We start from the raw sequence: 22,237 nt of genomic DNA on the forward strand, positions 1-22,237 counted from the left end.
CTTGCTACCTGGTTTCCAGTGAGGTACCATGGAAAGCAGTTGAGGGAGGTAAGAAGGCAGGAGGAGGGGTGACTTTATCAGTAATAGTGACAGGTAAGTGAAGGCAATCAGTGGTTCCAGCAACCGCAATAAGGGCAACATCCAGGCAGCAGCAACAGCAGCCACACTCCTGTAACTCCGTGGGGAGTGGGGCCCTTAGTTATTTCCTGGTCTCTCCTTTACATCTTTTTCTTCCTTTTGTTCTCCTAGCCCTTCCAATGCCCTTGAATGCAACCCTCTGCATTAAATCCTTCTTCTCTGCTTAAAATATTTAGAGTGGTTTCTGTTCTCCTTTCTAGATATTGATTATTGAATGCTTTTGATTTAGACAAAAGCTTTAGTTTCTTCCTGACCATTTTTTTTGCATACACCCCCAAAATGTCTTTATGAATCAGTGTGCTTTAATTCTCGGTAACACTTGGCTACTTGGCTACAGTTTCATTGTGAGTCTTGCAGAGTCATCAGTAAAATTAATAACTGAAGCATTTAAAGCAAAATAATTCTTCAAGAATTCTCTAAGACAATTAAAGAACTGTAATGTTTTAGGATTACAGGTCCTTCTGGAGCAGTTCTAATTTTGTATGTGCTATCTATGTTATCCCTCTACCCCTGACATTAACAAATTATGTACCTGGCCTGAAATTATTGGCCCTTATATATGTTAGTTTTCCAGTGATACAGGTGGTATGGATATTTGTTGTTTTTGATGTCCATAACTTATTCCCACTTATTTGTGAGGAGCCTCTCTATACGACTGTATAGGAACTAGTCTTTCCTGCCCCACACCTTCAGGTGGGATTAATGGTGCTCTTGATGGTGCTGGGATCTCAAGCAGGGCTAATTTCTTACTCTATTTCTAAAATTTAAATCTGGACACAGAGGGACCAAAAAAAAAAAGACTGAAAATGATGACAATTGATGCATCTTGATGATAGCAGCCCAAGGCTACCTATTGGTTCTTGCTCTTGCCTATCCACTGGTTCTGGGTTGTGTATGAGGCCTGGTTTTCCAGATTTCCCTTTGATTGTGTAAGCTGTTCCACATCCACCTGATAATTTGCTTCTCTCCTTGAGCTGAATAGAATTAAATTCTTTCTGTCAAAAGAACCATATAAACAGAGTGGGATTGTATTTTTTTTTCTTTGTCATTCGTGGTAAAATATACATAACAAAGATTTTTATCATCTTAAAATTTTAAATGCACAGTTCAATAGTAGTAAGTACATTCACACTGTTGTGTAGCCAATCTCCAGAACTCTTTTCATCTTGCAAAATTGAAATTCTATACTCATTTACAACTTCCCATTCCCCACCTCCCCAAGCCCCTGGCAACCACCATTCTACTTTCCTATGAATTGACTGCTCTAGGTGCCTCATAAGTGCAATCACACATTATTTGTTGTTTTGTTTTGTCTTGTTTCTTGAGACAAAGTCTCGCTCTGTCACCTAGGCTGGAGTGAAGTGGCACAATCTCGGATCACTGCAACCTCTGCCTCTTGTGTTCACGTGAGTCTCTTGCCTCAGCCTTCTGAGGAGCTGGGATTACAGGTGTGTGCCACCACGCCTGGCTAATTTTTGTATTTTTAGTAGAGACAGAGTTTCGCCATGTTGGTCATGCTGGTCTTGAACTCCTGACCTCAAGTGATCCACCTGCCTCGGCCTCTCAAAGTGCTGGGATTACAGACGTGAGCCACCACGCCCAGTGGCATTATTTGTTTTTTTGTGACTGGCTTACTTCACTTAGCATGATGTTCTCAAGGTTTATCCATGTTACATCATGTGTCTGAATTTCCCTTATTTTTGAAGCTGAATAACATCCCATTGCATGTATATACCACATTTTGTTTACCCATTTATCCGTTGATGCACACTTGGGTTGCTTCCACCTCTTCACTACTGTGAATAATGCTGCTATGAACATGAGTGTACAAATATCTCTTAGAGACCCTGCTAATTCTTTTGAGAGTATACCCATAAGTGAAATCACGACTTTTTGAAAAACCACTATACTATTCCCTATAGTGGCTGCACAATTTTATATGCCCATCAACAATCCAAAGGGTTCCAATTTTTCCACACTCTCACCAGTGATTTTTTAAAAATATTAGCCTATATTCTAATGGATGTGAAGTAGTTCTCTTCTTTTTTGAAATACATGTTGCACCAAGGACAGCCTCTTGTATCGACAAATGGTTATGCGGAATATAAGGAACAATTCAATACTAACCCAGTTCTCTTGTGGAATAGCTGTCCAGTTCACTAAAGTCTCTTCAGGGCTCCTGGACCCAATTTGTTTGGTAAGTTTCCTCCGTTCTTCCCACTTCTCTCTGTATTCCTTCCATTCATTAAGTTTCTTTAAGCCTGGAGAGAATGAAATGAGAATACTTCTGAGCTGCATTTGCTTTCTCTCATGATGAGTCTGCTAATCATTTCAGAAAGGGCTTAAGTCTTTCCGTGTTAATACATTCAAAATGTAGGTTTTGGATAATATTTTTTTTTTTTTTACAAAAAGAATAACTAAAGAGGAAACTTAAGCCACCTGCTAGGAATTTGCAAACAAGGTAACTAAGGCTCTTATTAAGGAAACATTTAGAATCTTTCAAAAGCACTAGTATTGTTGGTTCTGACTTGAGATAACCTGAATTTAAAAAGCCTGGCAACCAGTCCTTAGCGCTCACCTTTCAAAACCTTCACAGCCAAGAGTCAGATGCCTAAATGTCTCCTCGGCATATTTGCATCCTGACAGCCTCACTGTGGGGATTAGAGGGGTGCACATTTCCTCAGTTTTGGAATATTCCATTTTGGCTTTTGTGTGTGTGTGTGTGTGACAGAGTCTCACTCTGTCGCCCAGGCTGGAGTGCAGTGGCGCCATCTTGGCTCACTGCAAGCTCCGCCTCCTGGGTTCACGCCATTCTCCTGCCTCAGCCTCCCGAGTAGCTGGGACTACAGGTGCCCGCCACCACGCCCGGCTAATTTTTTTGCATTTTTAGTAGAGACGGGGTTTCACCGTGTTAGCCAGGATGGTCGATCTCCTGACCTCGTGATCTGCCCGCCTCGGCCTCCCAAAGTGCTGGGATTACACCGCGTCCGGCCCCATTTTGGCTTTTCTTCAGCTGTGCCTGAACCAGGAGGTCTGAGACTCTCAGCTAAGTGTGGGCTAAGGAGTCAGCCCTCCTGGATTCCCAGGCAGTCAGCTGGGCTCCTCTGAGTAAGGTTCTTAAATTTTCTGAGCTCCAGTTTTCCTTATCCATAAAACAGGAATAAGACTGCCGGCTTGTAGGCCTATTGTGAAGGTTAGTTACGGTAATGAATATACCCATTTCCAGCGTGCTATCAACATAACAGGCAGTTTAAAAATGAATAATAATTTTCTTTATTCTTTACGGAAATTAATATTGGTAGATGGTCATTATCTAAAAATAAAATTATGAATGTGTTTTCTTACCTTTTCTTGAATTTTTTTGAGAGTCCTCAAAAATTATACTGAAAAAAAAAAGTTCAACAAATCTATTATACATCATGGTGACTACAATTAATAACAATATATTGATTACTTGAAAATTGTTAAGAGGATAGAGTATATGTGCTCTCCTCACACACACACACAAAGAAAGGTAATGTATATGTTAATTAGCTTGTTTAGCCATTCCATAATGCATACATATATCAAAATATCCTGTTATATACCACAAATATGTGCAATTTTTATTTGCCAATTCAAAAAACAGGGCCGGGAGCGGTGGCTCATGCCTGTAATCCCAGCACTTTGGGAGGCCGAGGCGGGTGGATCACTGGAGGCCAGGAGTTAGAGACCAGCCTGGACAACATAGTGAAAAACCATCTCTACTAAAAATACAAAAAAAATTAGCCGGCCATGATGGCGCGTGCCTGTAATCCCAGCTACTCTGGAGGCTGAGGTGAGAGAATCCCTTATACCTGAGAGGCAGAGGTTGCAGTGAGCTGAGATTGCACCACTGCAATCCAGCCTGGGGGACAGAGGGGAGATACTGTCTCAAAAAAAAAAAAAGGAAGAAAAATAAATAAATAAATAAATAAATAAATAAACAATAATTCTGGGCATCTTATGTTTTAAAGAAGTTTGGCTTGTGTTATTTTTTTAAACCTACATATTTTTTCAAGAAATACCTAACTTTTCCCTAAACTTCCATATCCAGTTTTTTTTTAAGTTTAGATTTCTGTTGTATTATAAATTTTTCCTCATAACTCTGTATACACACACACATTTTCTATTCCTTTGTTACCACAAAAATTATAAAATGTTTTGTATTTATAGAAGTATTATCAAATATTTTCAAAAAGTTATTTTGATTGTTGACATTCACAGAAACCCAATGAATTAGTAGGTGCAGCAGTTATTATTACTGTTGTTTCACAGATGGAATGGGAGATATATGACTTTCCCAAGACCTTGAAGCCAGTAAAGTGGTGGAGCCAGAACTCAGACCCTGGCCTTCAGTTTCCAAGTCCAAGATTGTCTCCACCATATCTCACTGTCCCTCTCCAGGGCCATGTAGTGAAGGGCTACTGGCTAAATAAATGGAGGAAACAAGCAGAAATGTAAGGTTGAATGCCTTTTTGGAAATCGGAGGAACCAAGTATTAGCAAACAACTGAAAAGTTATGCTCAAAGCCTAACAAGAAGCCAGTTGCATTGGGAATACTTGAACTGCTTCAGAATTTGTATATATATTTAAGACAAGGTCTCGCCCTGTCACCCAGGCTGAAGTGCAGTGGTACATTCCTGTAGCTTCCATCTCCCAGCCTCAAGTGATCCTCCCACCTTTCAGCCTCTCTCAAGTAGCAGGGACTACAGGCCTGCACCACCACTCCTGGCTAATTTTTGTATTTTTTATAGAGATAGGGCTTGGCCATGTTGCCCAGGCTAGTCTGGAACTTCTGGGCTCAAGTGATCCTCCTGGCTCAGCTCCCCACAGTGCTGGGATTACAGGCATGAGCCACCACACCCAGCCTGGTACATTCTTTAAAACAATGAAAAATGCCCTGCATATTCCAGATTTCTCTTTTCTCAAATATGCCATTCTTATGTCGTAAATACTAAATTCTTATTTGCCTTAGTTAATGGATTTATAGCTTAAATATATTTTCTGAATACTTCCTGTGCGTACTTTCTGTAAAAAAAATTAATAAACATACCCTATATTTTTAATTCTTATTCTACCCACATTTAGAAAGGATGCAGGGAGATTCTCTATGTATCTGATATTGTGGCTAAGAATGAATAAACAAATGAAAAAATCGGTCTGAATCTATTTCTACATGTCATACTAATTTATTCAGGCCTTGTTAAATCTCTACGATCAGCCAAAATTAGAATAAGTCTACTCTAAAACAACTTGGCATTATGCTTAAAGAGCAAAAAAAATAAATAACTGCTCCCCCAGCAGAGAATTTATCTTATGGAAGTACTACTACTCACATTCCAACTCTGTATGTACATATATGAACACACAGAAACAATTATATGCTTGAAAATTAAAATATAATTGCTGACTAGCAAATAGCAGAAAAATCTTCAACAAAATTAAAGTGGTGGAGGAAATTATAGTAGATCAAATGATGGAATATTGGGAAACTGCTACATTATTATTTTGAAGAATTTGTAGCACTATGCAGTGTAATTTTTTTTTCTTTTGACACAAGCAAAGAAAGAAAAAATAAATCTTGTTTACACGCAGTTATAACAATGAAAAAAGGATATTTTGCATGTGGACAAAAAATTAAAAGGAGCATAGAAAAGTCAAAGGTTTCCCCCCTTTGTGAATCAGTTAACACTACTCGTATAATGAAAAACAAAAATAAGAAACTGAGTTCCTTTTGGCATACAATCCGTAGAAAACCTGTAAGTCGCTCTTTGTCCTAATTTAAGTGGATGCTGTGAACGTGAAGTGATACCAGGACTGGGTTGTGGTGCACTTGAGCCCTGACTGCACCACATGGGGAAAGTACAGAACAATAAGCGAGACTCATTGTTGCCCAAGAACTATCATTTATGCTATCTCAAAACAAAACAAACATACTCTACATTCCACATATCTGTAGGGCATCAAGATCTCAGCATCATATCTTTAAATCATTGGATCCCAAAGGGAAAGTAAAATTGCATGAAGGAAAAATACCACACAGTGGGGAAAAATACTCCTTTTTGTAAGTCTTTATTTTTTAGTTGCTCCTCCCATAGTAATGCACTGAAAGGCATAACAGTTTATATTGTACAAAGCATTTGAAGAAAGTACCTCAACTTGCTGATTATTTCAAAATGAGATTACAAACAAAAAGAAAACAAATCTGGTTCCTCAATAAAGGGCAAAATAACTGAATACAGTCTGTTATTTACTTCTCTCTTTTAACATAAGGTTGGGAACACTTCATTTTACAAATAGGATTAACATGAACATAACATCGCACAAGCTTGCAGACAACCAGCATAAAATATGGAGTACAGTTTTTAATCAGAAGAATCATGCTTCCATGAAAGAAATTATAATCGTTTATACAATTGAATCGATTTCAGTATTACAAAAACTAAGTTGCATCTATTCGTATTTAGTTCATTAAGAAGGAAAACAAAACAAACAAACAAAAAGGAATGTTAAGAAAAGCCAAACACCATTTGGCACTCTCATACACAGGTCGGGTCACCTTGGTCCTTGAAATTCGGAAAGGGGTGTGCCTCAGACGTCATAAAGTAGTGGCTGACTGGAACAGTGCTATTTTAATCAACAAACAATAGTTTGCCAACAAATAAATACATGATACACGCAACACACACAAAAAAATAAACATTAAAAACAGTGACATGATTGTCTAAAATTAAGATGTTATTACAAGGATTTGGCAAACAATTTATTAGTGGTACAGCGGTACTGGTGATGAATAGGTTACTTCACTGACTTAACCTCTTTGAGTGTTAACATCCATAGTTTACAATATACACATACCCTTTTTCCCTAGTTTTAAACAATGTACTTAAGAAGGCAAAAGGGGGAACAAGTACTCCCTGTTATCAGTTTCTATAATAATTGACTGTGCATTTCATCCAACTACTTCTGTCTTCAAAGGGTTAAATTACATAAAACTTTAACGAAGAAAAAAATTAAATCTGTAATTAAAAGCAACTGTTCCCAATCATGTCAGGTGATCTTGTACAAAAGAGAATTCAGTTTCTATGGAGTGTTCATTCATATCAATGCTGCCATCTCAACTGCCCTTCTCACCCACCCATACCCTAAGGTGGGGTAAACTGGAAGATGCCTTCAGCCCACCAAGTTTTTTGTTTTCACTGAATCACTTTAAGTCGCATTGATTGATCTTCCAGAAGTCAGCAGCTGCCTTTGCTGTGCAAAACAAAATATCGAGAATAAATAGTTTCTTTTTTCTTTCTTTTCTTTTTTAAATCATTCAGTTTAAGGTCACTAGACTTTAGATGAGTGACCCTGCAGGTTTATAAGGCATTCTGCTCAGCAGTCTTGTAAATAGTCCTATATGAAAGAGCCATGCTACTGTTGGACTTGGTCCCACTCTGGTCAACCTTGATAACGTCATACGTGGCTTATGGACTGGATAGCACTGGATTCCGCCGCAGCCCTGGCCATACTGTGCCACACGTTGGAAGAACTGTGGGATGTAGAATGGAGGGACTCCTTGTCAGACAGTGACAGCATCATAGCATATGCCTGGGGTAAAAAGGAGAGAGACTCAGTAAATGGCATTTGAAAAACATCACTTTTAGTTCAAAGAATATTGTTGGTAAATGGAAAGGGATGGGACCCTGAGTAGGGGCATCCTTCATGGGTGTGTTTGGCAAAGAAGGCATATTTTTTGTAGAAACCACATGGGATTACTGCTGGCCTTTAGTGCCTAGGGGCCCCAAAAGTGACACACGCTACAGAACCAAAAAGAACTATCCTACCTAAAATGCAAATAGTGCTTCCATTGAGAAAAATGAGTCAGTCTCCTGTTCAACTATAAATACAGTCATCCATCCACTACATATGTTCAATTCACCAAAAATATTATTGTGTGCTTATGACTGAAACCTCAAATATTAATAAGATATAGACCTACCTTGACAGAGCTGTGGCCTAGTAGAGGATACAGCCTGACTCCTACACTTTATAACCGAAAGCACTGAAGGTGCTTGAGTGACTTGCCCAAAGTCACTCAATTAGATAGATAGTGGGAGAAGCATAACTAAAATGTATTTCTGCCCAACTTTTAATCCATTGTCTTTTCTCCAATTTCCCTCCATGCTTGACATACTCAGTCCTGGCACCCATAAGTTGAGGTGGATCAAATCAGCTCTACCAAAAAAATAAAACCAAACACAAGACCCAACAGTGTTCTAATCAACTTGTTTTCCAGTGTCTGCTGAGCAGAAGGTGCATGGAGGTGCTCTGTGAGGAAGTACTCTTTCTTCCCTATTATCATGTCAAATTTTAAATAACTGTTCAGAGAGTCCCCTATTTACTGCCAAGCAAAATATTCAAATGAAATGTTTGGTCTTGACTTGTAAGTGAACTTTTCACTGTTGATTTGCTATTGTTGGTCTCATCCATTGCTAAACTTGCTTGTCAAAATGCTGCTGAAGTGGAATCATTAAAGTCCTGCCAAAGACATTCCACTGTCTGTAAACAAAGACAAAATGCCTCTGTTGTTAGGCAGAATTTCATCTCTGGGAGTCATGCTGAGACATGTGGCCAGTCTGTGGTTTCTTCCGTAATCATTGCATTTAGTTAGAAAATTTACCCTTGTAGGCTGATTTTTGATTTGCTGGGTCATCGCTCTAAATGTACACATTTGACTTTTATGTATGCAATTTGCCTTTTGGACTTCTACAATATCTCATGATCCATTTAACAAATATTTCTTAAGCATCTACTCTATGCCAGGCTCTGTGATAGATCCTAAGAAATTAAGAATAAATAATATAGAGTACTTATCTTTGGCAGAGTTTAAAGTATGGGTTAAGTGAGCATTCAACCTAAATTATCTATTCTGATTATGTACCTACTTTTAGAGAACAAGATAAAGAGTACTCTGAAAGAGTTAAAACAAATTCTGATATTTGGGAAGATAAAAAGGAGTACAAAGAAAATTTTGGAATTTAAATTTTAATCCTGCCTTTAAACCTGCCTCTACTCACCTAGCTGTGTGATCTTGAGCAAGTTGCTTAACCTTTTAAGCTTTACTTTCCTCCTATAAAACAGATGATAGTAATAACAGTATTGGCCTCCAAGAGTTGTGGAGGAATCACATGCACTAACTTACATAAAGTGTTTAGCTCAGTGTGCCTGACTGAGGTAATACATAAATAGTACCTATTACCATGAAATTAATTTTTACCGGATAGAGTTTCTTGAGGGAGAGCACATGCAAAATGCAGCTACTATTGTACTGGTCAACTATTTTCAATTCAATCACTATAAAAATTACAGACTATAAAAATTACAGAATAAATATATGAATGCTTTGACTAAAGCATCTGAGCCTTTAGATTCTAGAAAATGGCAAAACAGCATATCTGCCTTTTGGTAATCAAAGGAAATAAACATTTTCATATATAAGGATCAGTGCCCAGCATATAGCTGGTAGTTAATAAATGAACGAATGAATGATATTATGAAATAAAGTGAATTTGCAAAAGGGCCTGACCATTTTCAAACTAATCTATATAACATGATCAAGTAACAAGAAAAATATGACTTAGGATTGCAAAATGCTAGTGTTTCTTATAACAGTAACAGTCCAGCTGGGTTGGGACTTTATGTCAAAATGCTGGTACTAAAATGTATTATAATTATATCCCTTATCTGTAGGTTTTCAGGCCCTTTTGCTTTCTGTCACTTCTGGCAGTTTCTGGAGTGTTTAGGTATTATATCTTACAATAAATAAGAAGCATTTTTGGTGGACTAATTAAAAGAAATTTAAAAAGAAAAAACCATGGCCAGGTGCAATGGGTCACACCTATACAAATCCCAGTAATTTGGGAGGCTGAGGTGGGAGGATTGCTTGAGCTCAGGAATTTGAGACCAGCCTGGGCAACATAGTGAAACCCCATCTCTACACAAAATTGAAAAATTAGCCTGGCATAGTGGTGAGTGTCAATAGTCCCGGTTATCCAGATGCCTGAGGTGGGAGGATCACTTGAGCCCAGCAAGTCGAGGCTATAGTGAGCCGTGATTGCACCACTGCACTCCAGTCTTAGCAGCTGAGTGAGACCCTGTCTCAAAAACAAAGAAACAAGTAACAAAAAACCAAAAACCTTGATACTCAAGTTATCTCTAATCAACAAGGATGGAAGAATGGGAAATCAAGGGTTAAAAAAAAATACTAGCCACCCCTTATGGATGTCTCTAAGTAAAAATGAAATGTCTACTCTAGCTAGTTTACCTTTAATGTTAAAAACTGGAAACTTCATTTTTATCCCCATTGAATAAAAATCCACTTACCCCTTTTACAATGAAGAAATGGTACCTATAGTCTTTAAGTGATGTTCTTAAGTTCATGGAGGTAGGCTCTAGGAGCCTCTGTAGATGGTGGCTGCTTTAACTTCAGTTGAGAAAGAACATTTATTTTACCTATTACCATACATAATATCTCAGAACTTTTTACTAAATTGAATATTATTTAATGATTTGTATTATCCCATTGACACAATGTTTTTCCCAACTTCCTTGGGATATTATTACATTTGCTGTTAAGACAAACCCAGACATCTTACCCAAATAGAAAATCATTTCCAAATGTACAAACTAATATGGTCACATTGCAGGTCAGGCCACATACAAAATGAACTAATGGATCAGGCAATTAGACCACAGTGCCCAATAAATATGGTAATAGGAAGTTTCTTTATTTTTAATTGACCTGAATGAACAATCCGGTTGAGTGTGGATGTCAAACAAAAAAGTACCGACTTCCTTTATTTTGTAACAAAAACACTGAGGCTCTTTTAATTGCTATTTATGGACCCTTAAATAGATTTATTTTTAGTTACCATAGTGCTGATACAATGTTGTAGAGCCTAATAAATTTGAGTACCATTCATTCACTCATTCATTTGTTGAATTTAAATTGACAGGTTTTATTTCCAAATCTGCCAGTAAGTTGGTGTAGACCTTTGGCAACTCACTTCCTTTCTGATCCTCATTTTACTATTAAATTACAACATGAGATGACTTGCTAATTAACTACACCTAACAATTTACTAGACATAGAAGGGGACAAAAAATAGAATTCACTTTTCAGAAAAATCTTAAAATATAATTACATTGACAAAAGTATAGACACGGAAAATGACTCTGAGGTAATACATAAATATTTGTAAACAAACATGATGAACTAACTGTACAAAAGTAAGAGAATTGCAAAGTCAAGGAAAGATAAGTGTAGGATGGGGCTTGTCATAAAATTTCTATACAGAATGCAGCTAAATTAATTGCTTTCTTGCTTAACTATTTTGGATTTGGTCATAAATACAGTAAAGATATGAACATTTTTAGAAAGGCATCTGACCCCATTTGGATTCTAAAATATTTCAAAGATAGAATATTTGCTTTTTGGTAATCAAAGGAAATGTACGTTTCATGCATAATGTAACCATGATGCTGTACTATGGGAAAATCTGTACCTGCGATTTGGACTTTCTGTGTAACGGCTGCTTAAGTTCCTCTGGCACATGGGAAGTACTAAAAGAAGACAGCTCAGCTTCAGAATATTGATTATCTTCCATTTTCCTCATTTTGAGGCTATCTGTGAAGTGCCTTATATGATCTAGAGCAGAAAGTCCACTTTTATATTCTTCCTCTTTATACCTAAAATGAACCAACGAAAAACACAGAAATTTTCTTTTCATTTGTTATCTAATCAAATCACTTTCATTTGAATCTATCTATACAACTGACAAACTTCATATTGTATCTGCAAGGTAAAGTAGCATGCATCAATTATTGGGTTTTTATAAATACTTACAAACATCATGTCTTAAAAATATATTTCTGTTAAGATTTTTAGTAACTAAAGCCAAGCATATATTTGAGATAAAGAGTTAAAGTCAGTGACACATTAGTCAGTAATAGGCAGAGACAGAATTCATATATTCATTATTTCCATTTAAAGTAAAGCTAATTATGACAATATTTAGTCAACATCCATCATGAAAATATAATAGTCCCATCAATTTAACTGTTTGGTTATTTCTTTTCATTTAAAAAGTTATCATCTATATAGATCACATATATATCTACTGAAGTGAAGTTTATCTCAATTATACTTAACTGATGACCATGCCAGATTATTGTATAATTAGATAACGTCAAAATCTCTATTTTTCTTTGAGTTTTATAGGTAGAGTCTAACAATAAATGATTGTGTACTTATGTAATTTTCATTTTATCTTTCCCACCTCAGGTTAATCAGAGTTGCACCAAACCTGATGTATTTATATGCTTGTGGATTATGTTGATAGCCACCTTATTTTCATCTATTTAAATCTGATCCACCATGTATCCCTTACTAATTCAAGTTTAATTTTTGTGATTTATAACTCACAAATTGCTTATCACAGGAGGAATTGCAACCGTACATGGATCTACTCTAGCTTAGTTTCTAAAGTCACCCAAGGTACTCACCTCACTGGGGATGTCTTGCAACTCATCTCCAGGGCACTGGTTTCTTCATAGTCATCCTCAGGGTTTCCTTCATGTAAATTACTTGTCACTGGTTCCTTTCCTGTTTTTCCAGTAATATCATTGTCTTCATCCTCCTCATCTAACAACACCTCATCTTCAACTTCTTCATCATCCAGCAAGTCTGAATTTTGACTGGTCACCAAAGCCTTTTCATCTTTAAAATGACTGCCATTCATTCTTTCAAAAGCATTAAAAAAAAAGTCCAATTGTTGGTTTCATTTTTAAAATTGTAATTTGTTCCTTTATTATGTCTTCCCAACAACAGTTTAGATTTTCAACACTTAACATCGGAAATGTTTTATTGTTTATGCTCTACGTCAACCATGAAAAAATAATGTGACTTCACAAATGGGAAGATAAAGAAAAAAATAATTGTATGATTGTTCAGATTATAAATGAAGCCTCTGGCAGAACCCGAAAAACAATCTTGGTCTCCCATTTCTTATCAGACTTTGCTTGATAATTGATATTGCTATATATATCATATAAAAAGGCACATAAGTATGTTCTCAGCACAATTTACCTAATTGCCATGTAAGTACCCACCATTTAAAATAATAGATTTCTGGAAAATTCATATCACTCATGGGCCGTAGCTACAATACACATGCCTAAAGTGACTCTAAAAGTCCAAAGACAATGTTAAAGTAGTTACCAAGAAACAACTGGTATTTACTGATACTAGATGACATTTGTGGTACATTCCACCTAACCACTCTACCCATATTTGGAAGTAATTGACAGCTCACTTATTTGTACTATTTTCAAATTATTTTTTACAGTCTGAATGTGAAATAGTTCCTTGTTTCTCAGGAAAACGCCAGGGTGGAAAAAGCTCAGGTATTACAATGTACCCCCATCACTTTCCCACATAACAAAAATGAGTATAATTTAATATTCAGATTTCCCAGGATTAAAAAATAAATAAAACAATCTTGGATGTGACAAACACACATAGTAAAAATCCATTTGACCAGAAAAAGTCATATCATTATTAAGCTTTTAATAAAAACAATCGCTTAACCTCTTTTATCAAAGAATGGTGAAAACATCTTTTGCACAGACATAAATTAGTTTCCAAACACACTGCCAACTTGCTTGCATGAGTGGATTAAAATTTTTATTTAAAAAAAAGAAAGAAAAAGTAAAAGAACAAAAAGAGTGCATGGATGAAAATCAAAAGTAACAAAAGCCAACATAATTAAGAAAATCTATTTGTTAATTAAGTTTTCAAATGTGGCAATTTACAGAGAATAAATTATTCATCAAAAGTAGCCTGGTAGGAGTTCAGGGGAAAAACTTAGATGACTCAACCTTCTTATTTCTGTGCTGTTTAGACATGCTGAAGCCAGATGTTGCAACTATACAGGCTCACAAATCGCCAATTAAAGGCTAGAAAATTTGAATAGGCATCTCAGAACCCAAATGGTGTGTTTTGTTCAACAGTTCTTATTTGCATCAAGTAAATATCATTATCAAAGTATAAGATCGTCACTGTTTCTTGCTTGTTCTTGCTACTTTGTCCTTCTGATCATCTGCTTCCTCTCTCCCTTTCACAAACAGACAGACAGACACGCACACACACACACAAATGGGCAAGTAAAGGGAAAGGTACATCCAACTGCACACTGGTGTAGTTATCAGACTTCTCAGAGACTGGAAGGGTCTTTTTTCTTGTTTTTCTTTGATACACTTTTATACAAGTTGAAAAACAGAAGTGGTCATTTTTTTTGTTATTTTAGTAAAAAATGTTTATTTGATGTTTGCCTTGAAAAAATTACATAAAATAATTAATTTTGACTTTTGATAACATCAAAAACAGAGGACACTAATCCAATAATACTTGTATGATGAAAAATAATGGAACTTTTAACTAATTTCATGTTATTTTGAAATTTACAATGTAGCATCTGAATTTAATAGGTCACTATATAGTCGTGTTCAGAAAAGTCTACTTCTCAACAATAGATATTTAATTATAGCTTACAGATAAGAAAAATTAAATCCAGTAGTTTTGGTGAAATAGTGTTTCATTAACTTCATATGCAATGTGAAGTGCTGGGTAACTGTTAAGTATTATCATTAACAGCATTAAAAGCTTTTTTAAATGAATTAAGCTATTCATGCTTAATGTTGGTGATGATAAAAGGGAGCCAGTGCATCAGGGCAGTAAAAACAAGGATGTTCATACCCACTGAAACAAACAGACCAGAATTAAATGAGTAGTCACTTAAGAGGACATAAAGTAGCAATAGAATCTTAAGAAGACTATAAAAGCTTCTATGTAAAATATATTTGGGGGAAACTCCATGGGTATTTCATATATAAATGCATACATACATATGTACTATAATATGTATATTACATATATACAGAATATACATATATGTATTTATGTATAATACAGGTATATAGAATCATATATTACCTGTAATATATATAATTTATGATGTATAATAGTAGCCACTATTGATCAGTGATTCAACTGAATCCCTGTGACGGCTTTCTCTTCTACTTCTGAAATTTTGATAACAGATTCTATTCAGCTATCAGATAGCTAAATCCTGGTAAAATTATGGGCTCTGGAACCAGAGAGCTCAGGTTGAATCCCATTGATTACTTATGTGACCTCTGACACAATGGTTTAAGCTTCAATGTCTCCATTCCTTCACTGCTAAAATTATAGTGGCTATCTCATAGGGTTATGATGAAATTAAATTAATTAACACATGTAAAATGCTTGGAAGCATTTAATGTGGTATTTAATATGTACTAAATATATACCAGTCTTTGGTGACTGAAGTAATAGTAGTGCCACAAAAGTGAGCATAGCAAGTATATTTTAAAACATGTTCATTTCAGTCGTCACAGAGTTTAAAAAGTAAAAGACAGCTTTACCTCTCCTCCACATTCCTGGGAGATTGGCTGCCATGGTTGCTGTTCCCAATGAAATTTCGAATTTCTGTGAAGTAAGCATCTTCTTTGTCATCCAGAATCGCACCTGTACTTTCCAGTTCAGAATGAGGCGACGATGTTGCTGTACCTGTGTGGAGCAGAAAGCCTTTTATGACAAAGATTATTGTTTATCTAGCAACTTATTTGGAAACTCACTCCTTATGAATTTGATCAGTGCTGTTTCTTAAAACATGCCCTATGAATATTAATAATAATAACTTTAGAAAGTCAAAGTCTCCCCAGTTTACCATAATACACATGCCCATGACGGTCCTTTGGGAATATATTGAACCACTGAAATCATGAAGTACAGTCTCGCAAAGAAGGTGCTTCTCTCACTAGCTTTTCCTTACCTCTATTGTGACATGAGAATATTTGTATTCACATAATGAGAATTTAGAGTGAGACAAATTATGAACAAGTTTTAAATAGATTCTGCCAAGAGACACTCTATATGAAGTCCTGGTTGCAGTCAACATGCCTTTTTATTTATTTATTTATTTTTTGGCTACTATGCTAAAGCATATAACAAAATACAGTTTAAAGGCACACTGAAAATTCTGCATCCTGGTTTGCTGGGCGAAGCTGTGAGTTGACTCAGAACACTCCAGTCCAGGGGTTGGTGCAGTATTAAAAGGACAATATTAGATATGCTGATTACAGGATGATCTTCCCCTTCCTTGCCTATGCACTGCAAGACTCACAATACCCGTATCACTGGATTGGTGTAAGGCTTACATAAACTTAAACCACTTTTACACTTAAGCACTTTATATGTGGTTGAGCTTTACACCAACATTAGCTTCCTGTTGTTTATCTTGCCTACAAAGTATCTGTAATATAATAGTTCATCACAATAGTCTATATGACAAAAACAGGAGGTTAGAACATCCCCTCACCTAAAAGAGGTTACAATCTTGGTCAAAAAGTATTAACTTTGACATGTTACATGTTTAACCTTTTTTCTTAAAATAACTTTGATAAGAAAATTATAGTTGTATGCTATAAGGGTACACACAGTTAGAGTGGCCAGTTTTGCACATTGGATTATACTTCTCTACCTAAAATCTAATATTTTAAAACTATGATCATTAAATTGCTGACTTTGAGGGAGACGAACAGTATATACTTTTAAGTACTAATCAGACAAGATCATAAATAATGTGCCTTTATAGGGGAAGAAAGATTAATAATTAAAAAATTCCATAAATAAAGATTGCTAGTCTGTATTAATCCAAATTTTTTCTGTTCTTAAATCTCTTTGCCTGAATTCTGTATCTCTCCTCCCCTACCCCCAAAGCATAACCTTTATTCTCTGGAGACAAATTGTGACTGCACAGGTTGGCTCTGCACACATATGCCAGCTGGCAAATGTTACTTAATGACTTATTATCTAACTATTGGAAGCCAAAGACTAGAAAACCTACAATCCCTTCTGCTAAATATGTGCTGGCAAGGTCCCAGTTAAGAAAAGTCTAGTTTTATGCCAGTTACTTTTATCTTACTTTCATATAAGAATTTGTGACAAAAACAAAGCACTACTATCATTTGCTATGGGTTGCTCTGATCATGTCAATAGTCTCATATTCCCAGTCTTAACAAAAATTACCAAGAGAGGTTCTCTGAGCTGCAGGCCTTTTACAAAAGCAGCTATGCTTTCTAGATTAATATTCAGAGGGTGACATTCTGGGGCTGCTACTCTAGAGACTCTGCCATGCCTAGAGGCCACATTCTGTGCCAACAGGTGAAAAGACTGTCCCCTGTATTTTAGGAAATCTTGTTTCATAAGTCTCCTGCGAGTTTAGGTCATTGTCCTCTTTGCTTAAAATTACCCATTAGGAAGATAAAAACATAATCCAAATAAGGCCACTGAATTATAAATTAATGATCACATTGCTCACATTATTCTAAAATCTCAACAGAAACTTCCTGGGAATTTTTACAATAAGACCTGATTTTGGCGTCAAAATGGAATAAAAGAAGAAAGATCACATTATCTTATTATCTTTTAAAACACGAAAAAGAAGTCATCTTTGACTTATAACACAATTTATTACGTACCGGACATGTTCCCATTCTCATGTTTCTTTAGGTGTCTGTCTAAATTGGTTTGTTGACCAAAACACCTATCACATAAGTGACACTTAAATGGCTTCTCTTTATTGTGGATGTTGCGAACATGCCTTTGCAAGTTAGAAGATATGCTAAATGATCTGTCACAGTATTTGCATCTGAAAAATAAACAAAGAGAAAATATTAGCAAGCACATTAAAAGGTATTTCTCAAGACTAGTTAGCCAGCTATCAAAAATCATCTCCACTCATAAAACAACATTTTAAAGAAAAGGCACAGGGAGAATACTATTCACACAATTAAGATTTCAATTCCAATATACTCTGATTGCTTTAAAGACTTTCATGACTTTATCAGAAACCATAATAAAATATTAGTGATTTGATTGCTCCCAAATTCATTAATCAGTACCAATATTTTAAGTAAACCTCATAAAATAAAGCACATTGAGGAACAGTAGCATTGTTTTATCTTCTGCTTAGGACAATACAACTAATTTTTTTGTAAACAAACAAAAAACATTCATATAGTTTTCAAATACAATAAAATATCACTTTTTAATTCAAAATTTCAGTCTGATTAATTTCTCAGGAAATTCATTTTCTCAGGTGCTAATCCTAAAGAAAATTCCATTATCAGTTTCAAAATAGCAATCAATATTTTAGACTTTTAAAACTAAAACAATGTAAATAATTTAGTCTGATACCCAAGAATCAGCTACCACAAAGCCTTTTCTCTGTTAATCTTTAAACTGTTATAAAAAAAATAATAATGCCACTAAGTTCTCTTTTTGGAATGAAAGCAAAGGGCTTCCATTTATCTCCCTTCCTATTACCCCCTATTTTTCATTTCTCTTTTTCTGAACGAGTCTCTAGCAGTCTGAATCAGGTTGGTTTTTCATGAAAGCACTTATTATTGGTTGGTTAGTTGTTTCTGTCTTCCATGTGATAAAAAAAATCATAAATTATTTTTAAAGTTTTCCTTTAGTCATAAAATGAAAATACAAAAATGCAAGGCCTCCTTCCCCTAGCTCTCATTAATGAAGAAGAAAAGGGTTTTTAGTAATTGAGAAGGTATTGTCCTCTGTCATTTTAAGGTAAAGATTCCATTATTTGCCATCATTTGTTTATGATTTTGGGGGGCATGTTACTTGAAAAAAAAAGTTAACTTTCTCCAAATGACCTTTTTTTTTTTTGTTTTTTAGATGGAGTCTCACTCTGTCACCCAGGCTGGAGTGCAGTGGCACAATCTCGGCTCGCTGCAACCTCTGCCTCCTGGGTTCAAGCGATTCTCCTGCCTCAGCCTCCCGAGTAGCTGGGGTTACAGGCACGTGTCACCATGCTCGGCTAATTTTTGTATTTTTGTAGAGACAGAGTTTCACCATGTTGGCCAAGCTGGTCTCGAACTCCTGACCTCAAGTGATCCACACACCTCAGCCTCCCAAAGTGCCGGGATTACAGTTGTGAGCCACCGCGTCCAGCCTCCAAATGACTTATAAATGAAAACTTCAATCTTAGAGGACAGAAAATTCTTAACTCATCCTTCCATGTGTGAAGGGCCCTTCTCCTCCCACTTCTGAATGCAGAGTCAGTGGTTCAAGTGCTCTAAAGCAGAAGTCACCCCATTCCACTAGAGTTCTTGGGCTTCTGTGGTTGTCCTTATGTGATGCCAGAAGTCTAGTCAGTTCAGTAGGAAAAATAATCTGTTGAACTAGTTACTTTGGCATAGTATCACTAAACCAACACAAGTACTGATTTGATTTTTCCCCCTTAAAAAACTGTTCTGGCATAATAAGCTTCTTCAACTTTCCTCACTTACGATATTAATAAAAATTGTGTGAAACCCCACATTATGGTAGTTGTAATATTTTAGCCCCAGTTTTTTTTTTTTTTAAATGCGTATAAAGTTATGACCTTCTCTGCAATAACTCTGTTTACCTCCAAGGCCCACTGCAATGAGAACCATGCTATATTTAGCACAATTTATTCTGTGCTTAGCAGAATAACCTAGAAAACCCTGTTACAGTAAACGTACTCCCACAAAACACTTTAGAAAAAATTTTTCACCCAAAACACTTTCTACACAAATCATGAGGAAGAGAGATTATGTTTCTGCCATGCTTCTAACTTTCTGCTTGCACACAAAGGGTCTTTTCCAAATCTAGTAAGCACCATCTTCTCAAATCTAAATAAGCATGTTCTAACCAATGATCAGTTGTTACTTTCTATCTCTCCTCTGCTAAAGTCTTGGCCAGAAAAAGAATGTTCTAAATAAAAAAATCACTTCCTTCTACACAATTCCAATAAGAGCCTAAGTTTTAGAAATTCTTAAAACGAACACATAACACAGTCATGGGCAGTATACTATTAAGCCTTCCTAGTTATTGGATGTAGACATGGAGGTCAGACGAGCCTTTGAGATCATGATGTAAAATAAAAACGCTGAAGTGAGAGCTCTGGGCCTGGGTTTTAATCCTGACTCTATTAGTAGCAGACTTTGCGGAAGGCAATTAGCATATGTAAATCTGAATTTTTTCATTTGTAAAACAGAGGGGCTGATGCATCAAGGACACAGAGATGAGTAAGATATGGATTCTCCGGGACATGGTGGCACCTGCCTATACTATAATCCCTTCTCCTGCTAAGAATCAGGAGGCTGACGTGGGAGAACTGCTTGAAGCCAGGAGTTCAAAACCAGCCTGAGCAACAGAGTGAGACCTACTGTCTATATAAAAAAAAAAAAAAAAAAAAAAAGGTGGATTCCACTGTCAAGGAGCTTGTGGTCTACTGGTATTTATCTTTCTGAAGAGATAATTTTCTACATAGGGACCATGTTTAACTTTTACTACATAAAGTATTAAAACCTAATAGAACTTTCCAGAAGGCACAGGTCAGCCACAGGAAGCAGACAATTCATGTATCATTTACATACCATTTTACTTTTTTTAATTTTTTCTTTTTGAAATAATTTTAGACTTACAGAAGACTTGCAAAGATAGTACAAAGGGTTCCCATATACCCTTCACCTCAGTTCCTCCAATGTTAACATCTTACCTAACATTCATTAAAACTAGGAAATTAACATTGATGCAATACTATTAACTAAAATACAGACTTTATTTTAATATCACCAATTTTCTCCAGTGCTCTTTTTCTGTTCCAGGATCTGATCTATGATCCCACATTGCATTTAGCTGTCATGTCTCCTTAGTTTTCTACAGTCTCTAACAGTTCCTCAGTCTTTCCTTGCCTTTAATTACCCTGACACTTCTGAATAATACCGATTGGGAATTTGGTAGAATTTTCCTTAATTTGGGTTGGTCTGATATTTTCTCATTATTAGAGTGAGGTTATAAATTTTGGGGGAAAATAGCACAGAGGCAATATGCCCTCTCAGTGCATCCTATCAAGGGTACATGATGCTGACATGTCTAACTTCTGGCATTGTTAACCCTGATCATTTGGATAAGGTAGTATCTGCCAGGTTTGTCCATTATAAGGTTATTACTTTTTCTCTTTCTAATTAACAAATATTTTGCAGAAGATATTTTGGGGCTGTGCAAATATCCTCTTTAAACTTTCACTCACTAATTTTTTATTTTTTAAATAAACTTTTCTTTTTTTGAAGATGGGGTCTCGCTGTGTTGTCCAGGCTGGTCTTCAACTCCTAGGTTTGGGTGGTCCTCCTGCCCCAGCCTGTCTGAGTGCTGGGATTGTAGGCATGAGCCACCACACTTGGCCTAAATAAACTTATCATTTTAGAAGAGTTCTAGATTTATTAAAAGGTTGCAAAGATAGTACATAGTACCCATTTTCCCCTATTGTTAATATGTTTCAGGTACGTTTGTCACAACTATTAAACCAACACTGATACATTAACTAAACTATAAAATCTATCTAGTTCACTATATCCACTCATTTTAACATTCAATTGATCTTCCCTGTAGCAGTTATTATTGTGGTGTCCTACTTGTGATTTTGTTTTCCTCATTTTTTCTACACTGTTCATTGGAATTCTTCTGCAAGGAAAAAAAAAAAAAAAAACCCAGAGGGGCTGGACAAATAATTGTGTAAGCTCTCCAGCTATACCAAAATGCTGGTTTGTGGTTTAAAAAAATATATATGCACAATAATAGAGCCATTATTGGGTGGAATAAAACCATTGAAATTTATGTACAAAGAAAGAGTAAAATGAACGTGATAACATAGTTTCCAGTACTCTTGCCATAACAAAACATGAGTGTGGAAACCTTTCCTTCCACTTAAGCAGAATTTCTGGTAATATAATTTTCTCAAAAGGGGAAATCATCTAAAACTTCCCAGTATTACATCTCTCTGAGACCTGTTATATCAAGTGCATTCTATCATGTATAAATTGGAAATATATCACTTATAATTAGTGATTTATAAAACAGGTAGGAAAGCAAGGAATTTGAGAAAAC

The 22,237-nt window shown here is 35.9% G+C and overlaps 1 protein-coding gene across 38 annotated transcripts in view; it reads right to left on the reverse strand.

Moving 5' to 3' along the window:
* Nucleotides 6,216–22,237, reverse strand: part of MECOM (MDS1 and EVI1 complex locus) — a 580,206-nt gene continuing 564,184 nt past the window's right edge. For all 38 annotated transcript variants that reach the window (NM_001205194.2, NM_001366473.2, NM_001366466.2 and 35 more), the window contains 5 exons: nucleotides 17,785–17,954; nucleotides 15,667–15,811; nucleotides 12,709–12,945; nucleotides 11,709–11,892; nucleotides 6,216–7,752 (listed from right to left, as the gene is read on the reverse strand). In NM_001205194.2, the coding sequence (NP_001192123.1) occupies nucleotides 7,618–7,752; nucleotides 11,709–11,892; nucleotides 12,709–12,945; nucleotides 15,667–15,811; nucleotides 17,785–17,954 (871 nt within the window). In that variant the 3' untranslated portion in view covers nucleotides 6,216–7,617. The remainder of the gene's footprint in view (nucleotides 7,753–11,708; nucleotides 11,893–12,708; nucleotides 12,946–15,666; nucleotides 15,812–17,784; nucleotides 17,955–22,237) is intronic.

The sequence above is a fragment of the Homo sapiens genome, chromosome 3 (assembly GCF_000001405.40).
Source record: "Homo sapiens chromosome 3, GRCh38.p14 Primary Assembly".
NCBI lineage: Eukaryota > Metazoa > Chordata > Mammalia > Primates > Hominidae > Homo > Homo sapiens.